Source organism: Homo sapiens, chromosome 14 (assembly GCF_000001405.40).
Source record: "Homo sapiens chromosome 14, GRCh38.p14 Primary Assembly".
Taxonomy (NCBI): Eukaryota; Metazoa; Chordata; class Mammalia; order Primates; family Hominidae; genus Homo; species Homo sapiens.
Window position 1 is genome coordinate 64,317,978 of NC_000014.9, and position 20,945 is coordinate 64,338,922.

Consider the following 20,945-nt stretch of genomic DNA (forward strand, 5'->3'; position numbering starts at 1 on the left):
AATGCTAGAAGATCTAGCCAGTGCAATGAGGCAAGAAAAGAAAAGAAAATTAATACAGATTGAAAAGGAAGAAATGAAACTGTTTTTGTTCACAGATTACATGATTCTCTATGTAGAGAATCCCAAAGAATTGACTTTTAAAATTTCTGGAACTAATAAACAATTACAGCAAGGTTGCAAAATACAAAGTTAATATACAAAGTCAATTGCTTTCCTAATATACCAAATATGAACAATTAGAAATTGAAATTAAAAGCACAATAACATTTAAAGTATCGGCCGGGTGCGGTGGTTCATGCCTGTAATCCCAGCACTTTGGGAGGCCAAGGCAGGTGGATCACTTGAGGTTAGGAGTTCGAGACCAGCCTGACCAACATAGTAAAACCCTGTCTCTACTAAAAATACAAAAATTAGCCAGGCATGGTGGCACATGCCTGTAATCCCAGCTACTTGGGAGGCTTAGGCAGGAGCATCCTTTGAATCTGGGATGCAAAAGTTGCAGTGAGCCAAGATCGTGCCACCACACTCTAGCCTGGGCGACAAGAACGAAACTCCATCTCAAAAAAAAAAAAAAAAAAAAAAAAAAAAAAATTTAAATTATCAAGCAAGTTAAATACTTAGGTATAAATCTAACAAAATATGCTGGGTGTGGTGGCTCACATCTGTAATCCCAGCACCCCAGGAGGCCATGGTGGGAGGATCATTTGAGGCCAGGAATTAGAAACTAGCCAGGTCAACACAGCAAGATTCCATCTCTACAAAAGAAAAAATTTTAAATTAGCTAGCCAGGTGTTGTGGTTCATGCCTGTAATCCCAGCACTTTGGCAGGCCAAGGCAGGCAGATTGCTTAAGCCCAAGAGTTCAAGGCCAGCCTGGGCAACATGGTGCAATCCTATCTCTACAAAAAATACAATTAGCCAGGCGTGGTTGGCATGTGCCTGTAATCCCAGCTACTAGGGAGGCTGAGATGGGAGGATCACTTGAGCCCAGGAGGTCAAGGCTGCAGTGAGCTGTGATTGCATCACTGCACTCCAGCCCTCCAGCCCTGGTGAAAGAGAGAGACCCAGTCTCAAAAAAAAAAAAAGTCTAAATGAGGACTATTTTAAAACTTGGATGAAAGAAATTAAAGAAATAGACTCATCCAAAGTCTGATCTTTAACAAAGGAACAAGGCAATTCAATCAAGAAAGGATAGTCTTTTCAACACATGGTACTAGAACAACTACATACAACTACATATCCACATTAACAAAAAATGAATCCAGACACAGACCTCATACCACCTTCACAAAAACTAACTCAAAATACATCACAGACCTAAATGTAAAGTACAAAACTATAAAACTCCTAGAAGACAACGTAGGAGAAAATGTAAGTGACCTAGGTTTAGAGATGATTTTTTGGATACAATAGAAAAGCAAGATTCATGAAAAAAAAAACTGACAAGTTGGACTTCATTAAAACTAAAAAGTATGCCCTGTGATAGAGACTATTAAGAAAATAAAAAAGACAAGCCACAGACTGGGAGATAATTGTTGCAAAAGATATATCTGATAAAGGATTGTTATCCCAAAATATACAAATAAAATTTAAAATTCAACAACTAGAAAATAAAGAACTCAATTTAAAAATGGCAAAAGTTCTGAACAAAAGTTCTCATCAAAGAAGATATACAGATGGCAAATAAGCATATGAAAAGATGTTCAACATCATATGTCATTAGGGAACTGCAATTAAAACAATGATGAGATACCACTACACACCTATTCAAATGGCTAAAATCCAGAACACTGACAACACCAAATGCTGGTGAGGATGTGAGAGTGACAGCAATAGCTCTCATTCATTGCTGATGGAAATGCAAAATGGAACAGCCATTTTGTAAAACAGTTTGGCAGTTTCTAACAAAACTAAACATATTCTTACAATAAGACTCAGAAATAGTACTCCTTGGTTTTTACCCAGGTGAAGTGAAAATTTATGTCCACATAAAAACCTGCACTTGAATGCTTATAGCAGCTTTATTTATAATTGTCAAAAATTGGAAGCAACGAAGATTTACCATTAGGTAAATGGAAAGCTAAAATGTAGTAAGTCTGCACAACAGAATATTATTTGCAAAAAAAAAATGCTTTTTATTCACATTGCAATAAAAAGCAATGAGCTATTAAGCCACCAAAAGACATGGAGAAAACTTTAATGCATATTACTAAGTGAAAGAAGCCAATCTGAAAAGGTTATATCTGTATGATTCCAAATACACGACATTCTGGAAAAGACAAAACTACGGAGGTAGTAAAAAGATCAAGCCGGGCATGGTGGCATACACCTGTAGTCCCAGCTACTCAGGAGGCTAAGGCAGGAGAATTGCTTTAGCCCAGGAGTTTGAGATAAGCCTGGGCAACATAGCGAGACATCCATCTCAAAAAAAAAAAGTTGTGGTTGCCAGAGGTTTGCAGGAGGAGGAAGGAATGAACAGATGGAACACAGGACATTTTTAGGGCAGTGAAACCATTCTGTATGATGATGTAATGATGGATACTTGTAATTATACACTTTTCAAAACCCATAGAATGTACATTACAGAATGAATCCTAATGTAAACCCCGGACTTTAGTTAATAATAATGTATCAGGCTGGGCGCAGTGACTCATGCCTGTAATCCCAACACTTTGGGAGGCTGAGGCAGGCGGATCACCTGAGGTCAGCAGTTCAAGACCAGCCTGACCAACATGGTGAAATCCTGTCTCTACTAAAAAAAGTACAAAATTAGTCGGGTGTGGTGGTGCATGTGTGTAATCCCAGCTACTCAGGAGGCTGAGGCAGGAGAATCTTTTGAACCCAGGAGGCGGAGGTTGCAGTGAGCTGAGATCATGCCATTGCACTCCAGCCTAGGTAACAAGAGCGAAACTCCGCCTCAATAATAATAATAATAATAATGTATTAATGTTAACTCAATTGTAACAAATTTACCACACTAATGCAATTTGTTACTGTGAAGATGGGGAAGGAAGTTTATGGGATCTCTGTACTTTATAGTCAATTTTTCTGTAACCCTATAATTGCTTCCAAAAATAAAGTATTATTTTTTAATGTGGCATATCCACACAATAGAATACCATTAAATAATAAAAAGAACACAATACTGATGAATGCTACAACATAGATGGACCTCAAAAACAATGCTAATTTTAAAAACTAGATGCAAAAGACTACATATTAAAGTTATTTATTTCTATGAAATGTCCAAAAAAAGGAAAATGTATACACACAGAAAGCAGATTGGTGGTTGCCCGGCACTAGTGATGGAAGAGGGCATTAATTGTCTAGAAGCAAAAAAAAAAAAAAATCTTTTTTGGGTGATGGAAATGTTCTAAACCTGGATTGTGGTGGCATTTGCACAACTTTATTAACTTACTAAAAATCATTGAATTGTAGACTTTAAATGAGTGAATTTTATGGCATGTAAATATCCCAATAATGATTTTTTAATCACATAAACAAAATGATAGACATAAACACATTTAAGTGAGGCTACCTATGGGCATAAGGAATGGAAGTGGGGAATGGAACCAAAAACAATAAAATTAAATAGAGATGGACCATTATGTCCCCAATGACAAGACACTATTTAAGAAATTTGATTAGCACAATCTTCTGCACCTAAGATCCAAATTATGGGAAGAAGGAGGCAATTTGTAGAAAAGAAAAGCCCAGTGGTCAACAGGCATATATGAAGATGCTTACCAGCCATTAAAAAGAATGAGATCACATCCTTTGCAGCAACATAGATGGAACTGGCAGCCATTATCCTAAGCAGATTAACACAAGAACAGAAAGCCAAATACCACATGTTCTCACTTATAAGTGGGAGCTAAACATTGAATACACATAAACATAAAGGTGGGAACAATAGACACTGGGGACTACCAGACATGGGAGAGAGGGGACATGGGATGCAAAATCACCTATTGGGTACTAAGCTCATTACCTGGTGACGTAACCCAAACCTCAGCATCACGCATTATGCCCATGTAACAAACCTGCACATGTACCCCTTAATCTATAATAAAAATAAAAATTATTATTATTATTATTTGAGACAGAGTTTTGCTCTTGTCACCCAGGCTGGAGTGCAATAGCATGATCTCAGCTCACTGCAACCTCCGCCTCCTGGGTTCAAGCCATTCTCCTGCCTCATGCTCCCGAGTAGCTGGGATTACAGGTACCCACCACCATGCCCAGCTAATTTTTGTATTTTTGGTAGAGACAGGGTTTTGCCATCTTGGCCAGGCTGGTCTCGAACTCCTGACCTCAGGTGATCCACCCACCTTGACCTCCCAAAGTGCTGGGATTACAGGCATGTGCCACTGCACCTGGCCTGAAATTATTTTTTTAAAGAAGAGGGATGCTTACTGGCTAAGTGCAATGACTCACACCTGTAATTTCAGCCCTTTGGGAGGCTGAGAAAGGAGGATAGCTTGATCCAGGGGTTTGAGACCAGTCTGGGTAACATAGTAAGACCTTATCTCCACAGAAAGGAAAAAAAAAAAAAAAAAAAGATCCTTATCTTCACTAGTAGTCAAGAAAATGTAAATTACAATAATAATGAGGTACCTTGTTTTTTGTTTCTTTTTTTACCCAACTAACAACAAAAAAGAATGACAGCATTCAATGCTAGCTGGATGTAAAGGAGAATGATTTACTCTTAAATGAACTGCTTCTATCCTTTTGCAAATAGTAATCTGACAATGGCTATTAGAATTTAAAATACGCACTGTGACCCTATCAGCTCATATTTGTCAATTAATCCCCTAGCAACAAAAGCACCAGTGTGGAAGGATATAAGTTGAAAGATACTTATTTTCACATTATTTGTAGTGACCAAAAGAAGGAAATAATTATATCATCCCTCAAAAGAGAAATGGTTGAATAAATTAAGATACATGCATACTATAGAATATTATACAGTTATTAAAGGAAGAGCTATATCTTTTAACTTAAGATACAACCATGAGGCACTACTAAGTAGAGGAAGTTGCAGAATATTTTTATTAGAATGATCTTAGTTTTGTGAAGACACCATTACCCTTTATATATGTTTACATATTTCCATAACTATGGGAATGGTTAACATTGGTTACTGAGGTGACATGGGCAGAGAGAAAATTATTATTTCCTTTAAACTGTTTAGCATAGCTTTAAGTGTTGGGGTAGGCACATGTTATTTTGTTTTTTGTTTGTTTTTTGAGACAGGGTCTCACTCTGTTGCCCAGGCTGGAGTGCAGTGGTGCAATCTTGGCTCACTGCAACCTCTGCCTCCCAGTTTCAAATGATTCTCCCACCTCAGCCTCCCAGGTAGCTGGGACCACAGGCATGTGCTACCGTGCCCAGGTAATTTTTGTGTTTTTAGTAGAGACAGAGCTTCACCATGTTGGCCAGGCTGGTCTTAAAACTCCTGACCTCGAGTGATCCCACCTCGGCCTCACAGAGTGTTGAGATTACAGGTGTGAGCCACCATGCCTGGCCAAGCACACGTTATTTTGTACAATCTTAAGAAAACTTAATAAAGGATTATTTTTATTTGCATGGATTAACCATTCAATGTATTATTTCCATACACATATTCAAAGGCAGAGGTGGAGGCTAGATGAGATGATATATTTATCTTTAAACTCTATATGGTCTACTGTTGACCTTACTTCATTAAGTCCTATTTTGTTTGTTTGTTTTGAGATGGAGTCTTGCTCTGTCGCCTAAGCTGGAGTGCAGTGGCACGATCTCAGCTCACTGCAACCTCCACTTCCCAGGTTCAATCGATTCTCCTGCTTCAACCTCCCAAGTAGTTGGGATTACAAATGTGAGCCACTACACCTGGCTAATTTTTGTGTTTTTAGTAGAGACAGGGTTTCTCCATGTTGGCCAGGCTGGTCTTGAACTCCCGACCTCAGGTGATCAGCCCACCTCAGCCTCCCAAAGTGCTGGGATTACAGGCGTGAGCCACTGCCCCCAGCCAGTCCTATATGTTTGTAAAATCTGTGGTTGTTCAATAAGTATTGAATAAATGAATGAATAAGCAAATCATTCAGTTTGTGAGTAAAAGAAATGAGTGCGGTAGCCAGACTTTTAAGATGACCACCAATGATCTGCACCGCGCCGCCTGGTACCCTTATAGTCTCGAACAACATTGTATCAGGTTGGTCTGTTTGACTGATAGAATATGGCAGAAGTGATGTTATGTAACTTACAAGAAGAGATTATAAAAGACACTAAACTTTCCATATTATATTGATGGTTTTATCTGTCAAATATGTACACAGTGAAAAAACTGAAGATATGGGAAAGGGCATGTTTTTTGATAAAATTAGAAGCATAACTCTAAGGATTTTTCCCCCTCACTTTTCCAATGTTAAGTGAAATATAAATAGTTTTTATCAGCTTTCTACACCAAATAAAGTTAAAGTTATTAATATTAGAATAATAAATAGTTAATTTCATTGCCCAAAATAACATCTATAATTCAGGAAAGTCTTTTTTCATAGTCTAATCTTTTAAAACATCATTAAAAGCAATTTTTCCTTCCAGGTATTTCAAGGATCTTTTGTTGTTCCCTATACTTTTCTTCAAGTTGGAATGATTCACAAACAGCTGTTCATAAAGATGATACAGCTGTTCCATTTGCTGAGTAAGCATCTGAATTTCCTGCTGAAGATCTTCTGTTCTCTATAGAAAAAGAAGGAAATACTTCCTGATAGTTAACAGTTACGTTTAGAGTGACATTGTGGGGACAATAAATTAGTAAATAGAGGCTAAAGGAAGACTATTAAGACTTGACATTTAAAAATTAATTTAAAAAGAAGTGGATCTGATACACAATAGTAAGACATTTTAGTTTGTAGAGTAATAAAGTCATAAAATAAGTTTTCAGAGATCAGAGGTTAAAAAATTATAGACTTCTGTTAATAGATGTAGCAGATGTCACTAGCATATTGAAACCTGATAGCCATATTCATTACATTCCACTGTTGATGGAGTGGAATTGCTGAGTCACAGGGTAGGATATATTCTGGTTTTAGGGATACACTTTGGTTTTAGGAGATATTGACAAATGCATTTCCAAATGGGTTGTACCAATTTAATCTCCTATCAGGAATGTAGGAGAATCCCGTTTCCTTGCCTAGCTCTGACATCATTTTAACCACATGCAAAATCCTCAATTATTTAACAAAAGAATGTAATACCTTCTGTTTCCAACCCACACATCATCCAAGATCTCCTGTCCTTTTATGCAGCTCTGGGATCTGAGTAAGCAAGTTTAGTTTCTGGACTTTTGTTGAGTAAAAGTAGGAAATAAGAGGAGAGAAAATTATTCATGAAATGATGAATTTGCATTAGAAAGAAGGTAGGAAAAAGAGGAAGGGAAGAGAAATTATGAGCAGCATAGACTGGATCTGGGAGAGTTTTTTAAGAGAATGGAGAGTTAGGCACAGGAGAAAAAGGTTTAGGATGTGATGTGAGAGATATAGTGAGAAAAGTTAAGAAAATGAAGGTGTTATTGTAAATTATGAATATTCCACCTTTTATTAAGAAAATTAGTTAAGGCAAATAATTAAGATTGGAATTACAGTTGACCCTTGAAGACCGATTTGAATTGCATGGGTCCACTGATAACGTGGATTTTCTTCTACTTCTGCTACCCCGGAGACAGCAAGACCAACCCCTCCTTTCCTTCCTCCTTCTCAGACTACTCAAAGTGAAGACGATGAGAATGAAGACCTTTATGATGATCCACTTCCACTTAATGATTAGTAAATATATTTTTTCTTCTTTATGATTTTCTTAATAACATTTTCTTTTCTCTAGCTTTACTGTAAGAATACAGTGTATAATACATACAACATACAAAATATGTGTTAGTCAACTGTTTATATTACTGGTAAGTCTTCCAGTCAACAACAGGTTATTAGTAGTTAAGTTTGGGAGGAGTCAACAATTATACACAGATTTTTTTTTTTTTTGCATGATGGCCATATCCCCTAACCCCAGATTATTAAAGGATTAACTGTACTGTCAACTAGTTTTGACAACTGAAATATTCTTTTATAAATGGAGCCAACACATAAATTGGATCATGTAGACCCTTGCTTTACATACAGATTACATTAAAAAGTGGTTATAGTCGAAGGAATTTGAAGAACACTTCCTCAGTACTATTTTACTTCCTCAGCAATATTTTACCCCCAACAGACTTCTATAAAATCTTCTCTTTTTATTCTTTTCTACTGACTACTCCTCAACCCTCCTTCACTCAATGAAGATTTGGGGCCTCACATTCTTCTTCTATACCAACTCATACCATAATTCAAGATTTCAGGGGTCACAGTAGATGATCGATCCAATAATACAGCTTTGTGATTCATGTGTGTACTTAATTCCAATGCCCTACACCTACACTCATTTATTATTTAATTATTTATTATTCTAATATTAATAACATTAACTTTTTTTGATGTAGAAAGTGGTTGTTAAAGCCAGATCATTCCAGCTCCCAAGAGTTGATTATTCATATCTCTTTCTAATTCTATGCTCAATGACATGTTGGTATCAAAAGTCAATGAATGCTCAAATTGGGTGCTTTTTCTCAAGAGCCAGTTTACCAGCACATGACTGCCTTTATACCCTACTTCAACCACCTACACCTAGATCCAAAAACAACCCTGGATTTTGTCATCAGCAGGAATTGCCCCATACCAGAAATATGAAACTCCGCTATCTTATTCTGTAACATGATCTCAGCTTTCAGCTTTCTCACAGCCCTATTACCCCTATACCTTTCTCTTCAGTATCACAGAGACCTTTAGGCCCCCCTTGCATTTTCTCTTAATATATCAGAAAGGCATAAAGGCTCCCAGTCAACCACGGTATAAAGGAACCATGGCTTCCTTCTACCCTCCCTTTGGGAGAGAACCAACAAACAACTCAACATTTCTCGATTACCTCCTAGAGTTAAACAAGATAACAAAAATTGTTTTTCTTCAAAAATCAATCAAAACTTATTCTCACCTTCATCATGAAAATATTCATGGTTCCTTGTCCTTTCATATTCATATGGGAGTGAATCTGTTGGCATCTACCAATTGATCTAGAATGGGTTTTTTTTGTTCCACCTTTTCTCTTTAAACCAGATATACCTTGTGTCAATAGACTGAAAGATATGAGTAGACTAAAGTAATTCAAACAATTTTCAAATGTCCATTCCAAAATTAAAAAGAAATGTCCCCTTTTAAAATATATATATAGTTGGCCAGGCACAGTGGCAAACGCCTGTAATCCCAGCACTTTGGGAGGCTGAGGCAGGTGAATCACCTGAGCTCAGGAATTCGAGACCAGCCTGGCCAACATGGTGAAACCCCATCTCTACTAAAAATACAAAATTAGGCCAGGCACAGTGGCTCACGCCTGTCATCCCAGCACTTTGGGAGGCCAAAGTGGGCAGATCACCTGATGTCAGGAGTTCGAGATCAGCCTGGCCAACATGGTGAAACCCCGTCTCTACTAAAACTACAAAAATTAGCCGGGTGTGGTGACGGGCTCCTGTAATCCCAGCTACTCGGGAGACTGAGGCAGGAGAATTGCTTGAACCCAGGAGGCGGAGGTTGCAGTGAGCCAAGATAATGCCACACACTCCAGCCTGGGCGACAGAGCAAGACCCCACCTCAAAAATACAAATACAAACACAAAAATTAGCTGGGTATGGTGGCATGTGCCCATAATTCCAGCTACTTCAGAGGCTGAGGGAGGAGAGTCACTTGAACCCAGGAGGCAGAGGTTGCAGTGAGCTGAGATCACACCACTGCACTCCAGCCTGGGCAACAGAGCAAGCCTCCATCTCAAAAAAATAAAAATAAATAAAAACAAAATATATGTATAGTCAAAATATATTTCTAAGGCCGGGCACAGTGGCTCAAGCCTATAATCCCAGCACTTTGGAAGGGCAAAGCGGGTGGATCTCCTGAGATCAGGAGTTTGAGACCAGCCTGGCTAACATGGTGAAACCTGTCTCTACTAAAAATACAAAAAAAAAAAAAAAAAAAAATTAGCCAGGCATAGTGGTGTGCACCTGTAGTCCCAGTTACTCAGGAGGCTGAGGCAGGAGAATCACTTGAACCTGGGAGGTGGAGGTTGCAGTGAGCCGAGATCACGCCACTGCACTCCAGCTTGGGTGACACAACGAGACTTCGTCTCAAAAAAATAAATAAATAATGAAACCCATCTCTACTAAAAACACAAAAATTAGCTGGGTGTGGTGTTGCACACCTGTAGTCCCAGGTACTCAGGAGGCCAAGACAGGAGAATCACTTGAACCTGGGAGGCAGAGGTTGCAGTGAGCTGAAATTGCACCACTGCACTCCAGCATGGGCGACAGAGCAAGACCCTGTCTCAAAAAAAAAAAAAGATTTCTAATGAAAACAGCTGTTCAGTAATTCCAATAGTCCCAAGAGGGTGTCATTTCAGAAACCATCCTTTTTAAGAAGACATTTGGAGAGCAATATCTGCCTGGGTAGTAGGATAATATTATAAGGATTAGGACATCACACACGGTATCTCAGTCCATTTGTGTTGCTATAAGGGAATACTTGAGGCTGAGTAATTTATAAAGAAAAGAGGTTTATTTGGCTCACAGTTCTGCAGACTGTACTAGAAGCATGGCACCAACATCTGTTTTGGATGAGGGCCTCAGGAAGCTTCTACTCAAGGCAGACAGCAAAGGGAAGCTAATTTTTCCATTTTGTAGATGAGAAAACTGGGACAAGAAATATTTAGCAATTTGTCTAAACCTACAATATAAGAGGTAGATCCCAGATTGAAACATACACAGTCTGACTCTAAAGACTCTTTGTATTTCAAAGAAAGTAGCCCCTTGGCTCTGATATTAGTTGCAGATATTTTAAATTCTTATTTAAAAATAAAATTTAAATAAAATAAAGTAACCCCTTTAGTATTAGTTGTAGATATTTTAAAATATTATTTATATTGTAATTCTACTTTAAGTACGCCTACAATTATTGTAGGAGAAAAATGGAAGTAAATAAAGAAATTTGAGAAATTTGAAGGCAAATATTAAAGGTACTGGAGAGTGAACACTAAAGGATCAGAAAGATGCCTTATGATACTGTGTGTGTAGATCACATGGTGAAAGAGAAGGCAAGAGAGAGAGGAGGGGTAAGTACAAGGATCTTTACAACAACGAGATCTTGTGGGAACCAAGAGTGAGAACGAACTTACTCCCTCTAGAAGGGCACCACACCATTCATAAGGGATCTGCCTTAACAACCCAAACACTTCCCACCAGGCTCCACCTTCAACATTAGTGATCAAATTCCAACATGAGACTTGGCAAACAAACAGTATCCAAACCGTAGCACACAGACTAAAGCACTTCTACTACAACAATTCCTGAGTGGAATTCTTTAATTGGGATGTGAGAAGGGGGAAAGGAATTGGAAATAACTACAATAATTTGGGCCAGGCACTGTGGCTCATGCCTGTAATCTCAGCACTTTGGGAGGCCAAGGCAGATGGATCACTTGAGCTCAAGACCAGCCTGGGCAATGTCGTGAAACCCTGCCTCTATCAAAAAAAAAGAAAGAAAGAAAGAAAGAAGAAATTTGTATGTGAAAACTTGTATCATACATACAAACAGCTTAGATACATAAATGACTAATTACATATTTGGATCTTGCTTTGAATACTAATTGCTAGGGAATGATAACATCTCTTTATTCTAAGGCTAATTTAAAGTTTTTTATGTCCTTTTCTATCGTAGAATTGCAGCCAAAAGGATTGGTGAGCCTGAAGTCAAGTCAAGATAAACTACCCGGCTAGGCATGGTGGCTCACGCCTGTAATCCCAGCACTTTGGGAGGCCAAGGCGGGCAGATCACGTAATTTCAGGAGTTTGAGACCAGCCTGGCCAACATGGTGAAACCCCATCTCTACTAAAAATACAAAAATTAGCTGGGCGTGGTGGCAGGCGCCTGTAATCCCAGCTACTAGAGAGGCCAGGAGGTGGAGGTTGCAGTGAGCCAACATCCTGCCACATTGCACTCCTTTCTGGTCAAAAAGAGCAAAACTCTGTCTCAAAAAAAGAAAGAAAGAAAGAAAGAAATTAGGCTGGGCACTGTGGCTCACACCTGTAATCCCAGCACTTTGGGAGGCCAAGGCGGGTGGATCACCTGAGTTTGGGAATTTGAGACCAGCCTGACCAATATGGAGAAACCCCATCTCTACTAAAAATACAAAAGTAGCCAGGCGTGGTGGCACATGCCTGTAATCCCAGCTACTCAGGAGGCTGAGGCAGAAGAATCACTTGAACCTGGGAGGCAGAGGTTACGGTGAGCTGAGATCGCACCACTGCACTCCAGCCTGGACAACAAGAGCGAAACTCCATCTCAAAAAAAAAAAAAAGAAAGAAATTGCCTCACTAGATTTCAGACACTTACTGGCAAGTCCAAAATTTGCAGGGTGGGCCAATAGACTGAAGAGTCAATGTTGAAGTTCAAGTCCAATGGCTGTCTGTTGGCAGAATTTTTCTTTGCTTGCAGAAGGTCAGTCTTTTGGTCTCTTCAGATGTTCAACTGATTGGATGAGCCCCACCCAAATTATGAAAGGTAATCTGCTTTACTCAAAGTCCACCGATCTAAATGTTAACCTCATCCAAAAACATCTTCACAGAAACATCCAGAATAATGTTTAACCAACTATCTGGGCAACACAGCCCAGCTAAGTTAACACATAAAATTAATCATCATGGCAGCAGGCACCTGTAATCCCAGCTACTCGGGAGGCTGAGGCAGAAGAATTGCTTGAACCTGGCAGGCTGAGGTTGCAGTTAGCCGAGATCATACCACTGCGTTCCAGCCTGGGTGACAGAGGAGGACTCCATCTTGACAAAAAAAAAAAAAAATCAACAATAACAAAAAACAAACTAATTATTACAAGAACAAAGACCAGAGGAGAAAAAACACAGTAAGTAGCAGTATGGTGGACTTAAATCCAACAATATCAGAATTTAATGTAAATAGCCTAAACATTCCAATTAAAAGACAAAGATTATAAGACTAGATTAAAAAACAAAACTATATGCTGTTTACAAAAGACATACTTTAATCACATAGAAAGATTGAAAATGAAAAATGGAAAAATACATACCATGCAATCTAAGAAATATTATCTAGCTATGTTAATATCAGACAACCTAGACTATAGGGCAAAAAGTATTACATGAAATAAGTGAGATTTCATAACGATAAAAGGGGCAATTCAATAGAAAGATAAAAATCCTCAATTTGTATGCAAATAGCTTCAAAGTTAAAAAATAAATGTTGATAGAACTAAATAAACAGACAAATCCTTAATCAGTGATGGATATTTTGACACACTTTTCTCAATAACTATAGAACAAGCAAGAAGTCCTGGGCCTAAATATCTCAGTCAACTCAGTCCACACTGCACAGGAAGGATAGAAAAAGGGCTGGGAACCAGACATGGTGTAAAAAGATCCTTTGGGGCCGGGCCCAGTGGCTCACGCTGGTAATCCCAGCACTTTCGGAGGCCGAGGTGGGCAGATCACGAGGTCAGGAGTTCGAGACTGGCCTGACCAACATGGTGACATCCTTTCTCTACTAAAAATACAAGAAATTAGCCGAGCGTGGTGGCGCGCCTGTAATCCCAGCTACTAAAGAGGCTAAGGCAAGAGAATCCCTTGAACCAGGGAGGTGGAGGTTGCATGAGCCGAGATCATGCCATTGCACTCCAGCCCGGGCAACAGAGTGAGACTCCATCTCAAAAAAAAAAAAAAAAAAAAAAGAATCCTTTGCACAGTCTCCTTCAGAGAGTCCTTCTCTCCCTTTTCCAACACTGGTAGAATGATGAAATATTGAGAAAAAAAATCATGGTGTGTCACTCAGCCACCATTTTAGCACTAAAGACAAAAACTGATGGTCCCTAGAGCCTCACTCTGTAGTCTTATTTGAAACTGTGCTTAGAAGATGAAAAGGACAAAGACATAAATTTTTAAAAATGAAATTATCCTGAAGAGTTTGCTATGCCTGATCAGCTATTATACATCCAGCTATGGCTATGGTTGATGAATTGCTTTTAATTACTTTTTCACTTGAACTTTTCAGCCATCTTATTTCAGACAATATCTGCACAACCAGAAAACACACACACACCTTGATCTCTTGTTGCTGGCTACTGAGTTTAGTCTCTTAGTTTGAGTAAATATTTGTTTCCCACTTCTGTTTCAGGCTCCTATGTTTTCCTTTTAAAAGTGATCTGCGAAATGCAAACCCCAGAGGAAAATGAAAGGTATCAATTGGTCTAACGTACAGTAAATAACAGAATAAAGATGGTCTACAACAGAATGTAAATCTGGATAGAAAAGCTTTTCATATTTTGTGGCTTTCTTAAATATTACTCTTATTATAAGAGGATACATTAATGACCATCTTTTCTCCTGCTATCAAAAAGGGTACTGTAACCAGGCACGGTGGCTCACGCCTGTAATCCCAGCACTTTGGGAGGCCGAGGTGGGTGGATCACGAGGTCAGGAGATCGAGACCATCCTGGCTAACACGGTGAAACCCCGTCTCTACTAAAAACACAAAAAATTAGCCAGGTGTGCTGGTGGGCACCTGTAGTCCCAGCTACTCGGGAGGCTAAGGCAGGAGAATGACATGAACCCAGGAGGCGGAGCTTGCAGTGAGCGGAGATCGCACCACTGCACTCCAGCCTGGGGGACAGAGTGAGACTCCATCTCAAAAAAAAAAAAAAGGGTACCGTATATGATCAAACATCTCCTCTCTACACACATTGACCAGATAATCACAAATCTTTTTTTTTTTTTTTTGAGACAGAGTCTCGCTCTGTCGCCCAGGCTGGAGGGTAGGGCAGTGGCGCGATCTCAGCTCACTGCAAGCTCTGCCTCCTGGGTTCACGCCATTGTCCTGCCTCAGCCTCCCGAGTAGCTGGGACTACAGGTGCCCACCACCACGCCCAGCTAATTTTTTGTATTTTTTAGTAGAGATGGGGTTTCACCGTGTTAGCCAGGTTGGTCTTGATATCCTGACCTTGATAATCACAAGTCTTATAATGAAAAATTGTAATAATGTTATACCAGGCAATAAGTGAAATTCCATGAAATTAAACTGATCAATCAGGAGCATGGAGCTCATATGCTATATGTGAGCTTATGATGAGAGACATGTTTCAAAAATAAACTAGAATTTTCTACCTTAGTTTTATAATTCGTTCCGTTAAGTCCTGCTTGCCTCTTTTAAGACTCTGAATACTTGTTTTTCAGACTTAATTCTGGTTAAAGATACAATATGTTCCTCTAGATCCTTGACATCGTATTTCAGGGACACTATCTGGGATGGCTATTAAACATTATTTTCTTTGTAGCTTTTTAGTTCAGACTTCAACTTTTGCAATGAAATTTCTTTTATGATGTATTAGTCCATTTTCACACTGCTGATAAAGACATGCCCAAGACTGGGTAATTTATAAATAAAAAGTTTAATGGACTCACAGTTCCACATGGCTGGGGAGGCCTCACAATCATGGCAGGTGAAACATACATCTTACATGGCAACAGGCAAGGTAGAATGAGAGCCAAACAAGAGGGGAAATCCCTAATAAAACCATCCCATGAGACTTATTCACTACGACGAGAACAACAGGGAGGAAACCACCCCCCATGATTCAATTATCTCCCACTGGGTCCCTCCCACAACATGTGGGAATTATGGGAGCTACAATTCAAGATGAGATTTGGGTGGGGACACAGACAAACCATATCATATGAGAAGTTTGTTTTGAAGATTCTTTACCTAAATAGAAGGCATTTTAAAAATTATTTATAATTTTAAATTTAAAAGTTCATTATTTCAAAATCATATTTTATATATAAATATATATTAAGGTCAAATCTTTCAAATCTGTGTGTTCCAGTGTTCAATACATTTTTAAAATAAAATCAAGTTAGCACATATAGCTTGGAATACCGTATTTTATTCTGATCAACATAAAAATTATTTTTTAAAAGAGTAAATTGTACCAACAATGAATTCTGTAAATCCTAGTAGAAAAGAACATTAAGTGTATGCTACTTTGGGCCATACTTGTTTTGCTTTATGATGTGTCCTAAAGGGGAGTGTGTTCAGTCTTCTCACTCTACCACCAAACCTAGTAGATTACAAAGCAAACCTGTATTATCTGAAAGGAACCCAAAAGTGGCTTTGTTGAGGGATCCAGCTAACGGCCTCTTTTGAGACACTGATTGACTGAGGATGAAAAATACATTTCTCAGGTGGCTCATTCACATGTCACAGAAGGCTTCAGTTCTTCCCTGGCTGTTGGGAGTAGGCCTATTTCTCACCAAATGTGCCTTTCCACAGCACTGTTTGATATGTTCTCATGACAAGGCAGCTGCTTTACTTCAGAGTGAATGATCGAAGAGAGAGAACAAAAAGGAATTCATGACCTATTGACATACCTCCACATTGGCCATATTCTACACATAGAAGCAAGTCACTAAATCCAGCCTACATTCAAGAAGAGGAGAATTAGCCACCACCTTTGGAAGGAAACACTATCAAAGAAATTGTGGTCTTATTTTATTTTTTTGAGACATTTGCTCTTGTTGCCCAGACTACGGTGCAATGGTGCGATCTCAGCTCACTGCAACTTCTGCCTCCTGGGTTCAAGTGATTCTCCTGCCTTGGCCTCCCAAGTAGCTCAGATTAAAGGCGTGTGACGCCAGGCCAGGCTAACTTTTGTATTTTTAGTAGAGACGGGGTTTCACCATGTTGGCCAAGCTGGTCTCAAAACTCCTGACCTCAGGTGATCCGCCTGCCTCGGCCACCCAAAGTGCTGGGATTACAAGCATGAGCTACCACGCCCAGCCTGTTGTCTTATTTTAAAACCACTACAGGAATACTGTTTGTGTAGGGTTTTTTCCTAAAATATTTTTAATAAATAATGGTTTTTCCTAAAGTAATATATACCTAGCACTGGGGATATAAACAAGAGAGGCAAACCCCTTACAGAGCTTACCTTCTATTGTGACAAGCCAGTAAACATGTATAAAAATTAATGAAATAATTTTAGATAATAAGTGCTGTACATAGAATAATGTAACAGTGATCAGGGAAGGCACACAAAGGAGTAACTTTTGTTAGTGTGACTAGAAAGGCCTCCTGTGATACATTAAGATAAATGGGGTTATACTATGCATTCTATTAGATAACCTGACTTTATCATTTAACAAAGCTATCTGTCTTAACTTGGGCTGCTATAACAAAATATTAATACCACAGACTGAGTGGCTTTAAAAACAGACATTCATATCTCATGGCTGTGGAACCTGGAAAGACCAAGATCAAGGTGACAGCCAGTTCAGTTCCTGGTGAGGACTCTTCCTAATTTACAGATGGCTGCCTTCTCACCATGTCCTTAAATGACTGACAGAAGAAAGCTCTGGACTCCCTTCTTCTTTGTATAAGGACACTACTCCCATCGTGGGGGCCCCATCTGCGTGACCTCATCTAAATCAAACTACCTCCCAAAGGCCCTGCCTCCAAATACCACCACATTCAGGGTAAGGGCTTCAACATATGAAAGTTCAGGGGACACAATTCCGTCTATAGCAGCTATCTCCCATATCTACACATTTATATCTTCCCTTTAACAACTGCATCCATCTTGATGAAAACTTGTACCTTTTTACAAATGTAAACAATGCTGTGATAAACACCTTTTTTTTTTTTTTTTTTTTTTTTGAGATGAAGTCTCACTCTGTAACCCAGGCTAGAAGTACAGTGGCGTGATCTCGGCTTACTGCAACCTCCACCTCCCGGGTTCAAGTGATTCTCCTGCCTCAGCCTTCCAAGTAGCTGGGATTACAGGCGTCCGCCACCACGCCCAGCTAATTTGTGTGTGTGTGTGTGTGTGTGTGTGTGTGTGTGTGTGTGTGTGTGTGTGTATTTTTAATAGAGACGGGGTTTCGCCATGTTGGCCAGGCTGGGCTCGAACTCCTGACCTCAGGTGATCCATCCACCTCGGCCTCCCAGAGTGCTGGGATTACAGGCATAAGCCACTGTTCCTGGACAACACATTTATAAATATATATGTGTACAAGCTGTGATAAACACTTTTACACATATTTGTGTGCACATATTAATATTTTTGTAGGATAAACTTCCACAGGTGAAATTATCAATGGAAGCACAATTTTAAGTTGTAGATAATATCAAACTGCCCTTCAAAATGGTTGTAAAAATTTACACTTCTACAAAAAGGAGTAAACACTGTTTCCTTACTAACTTTATGTATAAATATTTCTATCATAAGATTTTATGTATTTTTATTACCTTACAAACAGGCCATTCTCAGTCTTCATTTTATTTGATCAGTCTGTAACATTTAACAGTTAATTACTCTTTCTTTCACAGAACACATTTTTCACCTGTCTTGTAAGGCAGCATGCTCTTGGGGTTTTCCTCATAACACACTGGACTCTTCTTTTCAATCTTCCCTCCTGTTTCCTTCTCATCTCCTTGAATTCTAAACACTGCAGTGTCCTAGGCATCGGTATTTGGTTGTCTCCACCTAAACCTGTTCCTTTGGTGGGATCTCATCCAATCTCATGAATTTAAATGCCATATCTCCACTTGGATGTCTAAGAGGCAAGGTATTTAAAAACATTTAAAGCCAAACTTATGATTGTACCCCCAAAACCTGGTCCTTCCAGTATCACCTTATTTCAATTCAGTAAATCACAACTCTATTTTTGCGCTTGCTCAAATCAAACCCTTGCTTTCTTTCTTATATCCTAACTTCCTCTCTTCATTCAGATTTTTCTCATCAGATTCTGCCTCCCACTGCCATTCCTTGCCCTTTTAATTTACCTATTAAAAAAATAGATGAATCTCTAAAACTATATATTTCTTTACTTGATCATTGTCCTCCCCACCAGAAGATGAGCTGAGGGCAGGAACAGTTCACTACGGTATCTGATTCAATAATATCTCTAGCACCTATAGCAGTGTTCTTGGCACAGAGTGGCACTCAATAATTATTTGCTCAGTAAATGAATGGCTTGTACTGTTCACACTCATCAGTACCATGGTTGAAAACCAAGCTGTTGAGGTAGCAAGGGTAACAAATTGAGAGATAAAGCATCTGGGTTTGGGGCCTAGCCCAGGCACAGGTATGCAGCTGTAGGCAACTTATCCTTCAAAGTCGATTTCATCATCTGTAAAATGGGGTTTATGCATTTCCTCAGCATAAAAACCAGTTGAAATGGTCAATATCTACTTGGTATTACAAGACACAAAAGTTTCACTCCCTACAACTTACCAGGAATATTTGCTTCAATTCCCTTCTTAATTTCACTTGCTCAGGTATAAAACAACTTAAGTGGACATTTTCAGAAGCTCTTATATTACACTGTACCTCTAAAATATCCGCTTGTGCAAACTTTGAGAACTGTAAAAGCAATTACCAGAAAAAAAAAATCACGATTCCTTAATTCTATTATGCTGATGGTTGCACCACTCTGTAAATATGCTAAAAATCATTGAATCCATTAAAATGGGTGAACGTTATGGTATGTACATTATACTTGATAAAACTGTTAATCAAACAAAAAAGAGATTATCTAATTCCATATGTGGGACTACTATAAAATATCCTCAGAATATAGGAATAAGAAAAAAATACTAAAAGCCCCCCAAATTTTTTTAAAAGTCTGTTTTACATGAGCTCTGCCAGTAGTTGAAACAGGCCACCGTCAGAAACGGCTTGTAAAAGAAACCCGGTATCTGGTCAAGTCCTAAGTGACCTGAACCACGCACCTTCAGAACCATATTGGGATGACTGTAACCTGAGCGCGGTTCCTCCAGCAGAGCAAGCACATTCATCGGACTCAGTAACTCAAGGGGCCAGTCCTCTCCAGCATCCCAGCTGCCGCCGCCCTGTCAGGCTTCCCAGGCAATCGCCCATCTTATTCCTTCTCCAGTGTGGACGCCTACGAGGAGGGAGCGTCCCCTCTCGACAGTTAACTGGCATCTAGCTTATGAAGCCCGCGTGGATTCTCCAACCCCAGACCTGCTGGGGGGTGGGGACGTGCGGGTGACAAAATCCAGACTACGACCCTCCCTGAGCCCTGGCAACCCCGGGGTGACCCCAACACAGAGGGGGCCACGCGCGCTCCAGCTCTGACACTCCTTCCAGCTCGGCAGGGCCTGAAACAGGGGGCTGCGCTTCACCCACTGCTGAGCGTCAGATTCAGCTGAGGAGATTCTAAAAGCGCGGTGCTGGGCCCAGACCCAGGCACTCCAGAGCAGAACGCGGAGGGGCCCGACCCCAGTCTGGCGGCGCAGGTGTGTGACAAAGTCGGAAGGCGCGCCAAGCTCTCCAGTTCCACATCTGCTGTAGAGTCCAGCGCCCGCCACGCTCCCGCGCAGGGACCCGCCCATTACTGCCTGGAAGCCGGGCGCCCTCACACTTCTGCACCGCGTCCCCAGAGCTGAGGAGCATCCGGGAGACTCGCCGCCCGAACCCGCGAAACTGTCCTCCCTCCCGCGAGGCCGCCCCGTCCCCCTCCCCGCAGACCGCCCCCCCTCCCCGCAGACCGCCCCGTCCACCCCCCGCGAGGCCGCCCCGTCCGCCCCCCCACCCGGCTCCTCTCCCTGATTGGCTCGAATCGGGCGGGTTCCGGCGTGGGTTTCAGCCCCTCTTCAGGCGGGTTTCTAGCCACATGCAAAGGTGCTTTCTGGCCCGGCTCTTTTCACCCGCCAATCATCCCCTTCAGCCAGTCATCACCGACTTCCTCCACGTTTTCCTTGTCCTCTCCGGCCGGCAGTGTAGCAGCAGCAAC

General features: G+C 40.2%; 1 protein-coding gene across 6 annotated transcripts in view, besides 2 other annotated features; it reads right to left on the reverse strand.

The window, feature by feature from the left end:
* The window catches only part of ESR2 (estrogen receptor 2), a 111,907-nt gene extending 91,271 nt beyond the window's left edge, over positions 1 to 20,636 (reverse strand). For 4 of the 6 annotated variants that reach the window (NM_001291712.2, XM_047431076.1, XM_047431077.1 and 1 more), the window contains exons 1-2: positions 19,921 to 20,636; positions 18,436 to 18,743 (exon numbers count right to left, since the gene is read on the reverse strand). The gene's annotated coding sequence lies outside the window, so the exon portion shown is untranslated. The remainder of the gene's footprint in view (positions 1 to 18,435; positions 18,744 to 19,920) is intronic. The other 2 variants (NR_073496.2, NM_001291723.1) reach the window with 2 other exon arrangements.
* Positions 20,601 to 20,730: a silencer, noted in NCBI's record as "silent region_5832". NCBI's record gives its function as "represses an Ori minimal core promoter by ATAC-STARR-seq in GM12878 lymphoblastoid cells {active_cell/tissue: GM12878}" and the evidence as "EXISTENCE:reporter gene assay evidence [ECO:0000049][PMID:35858748]".
* Positions 20,891 to 20,940: an enhancer, noted in NCBI's record as "active region_8526". NCBI's record gives its function as "activates an Ori minimal core promoter by ATAC-STARR-seq in GM12878 lymphoblastoid cells {active_cell/tissue: GM12878}" and the evidence as "EXISTENCE:reporter gene assay evidence [ECO:0000049][PMID:35858748]".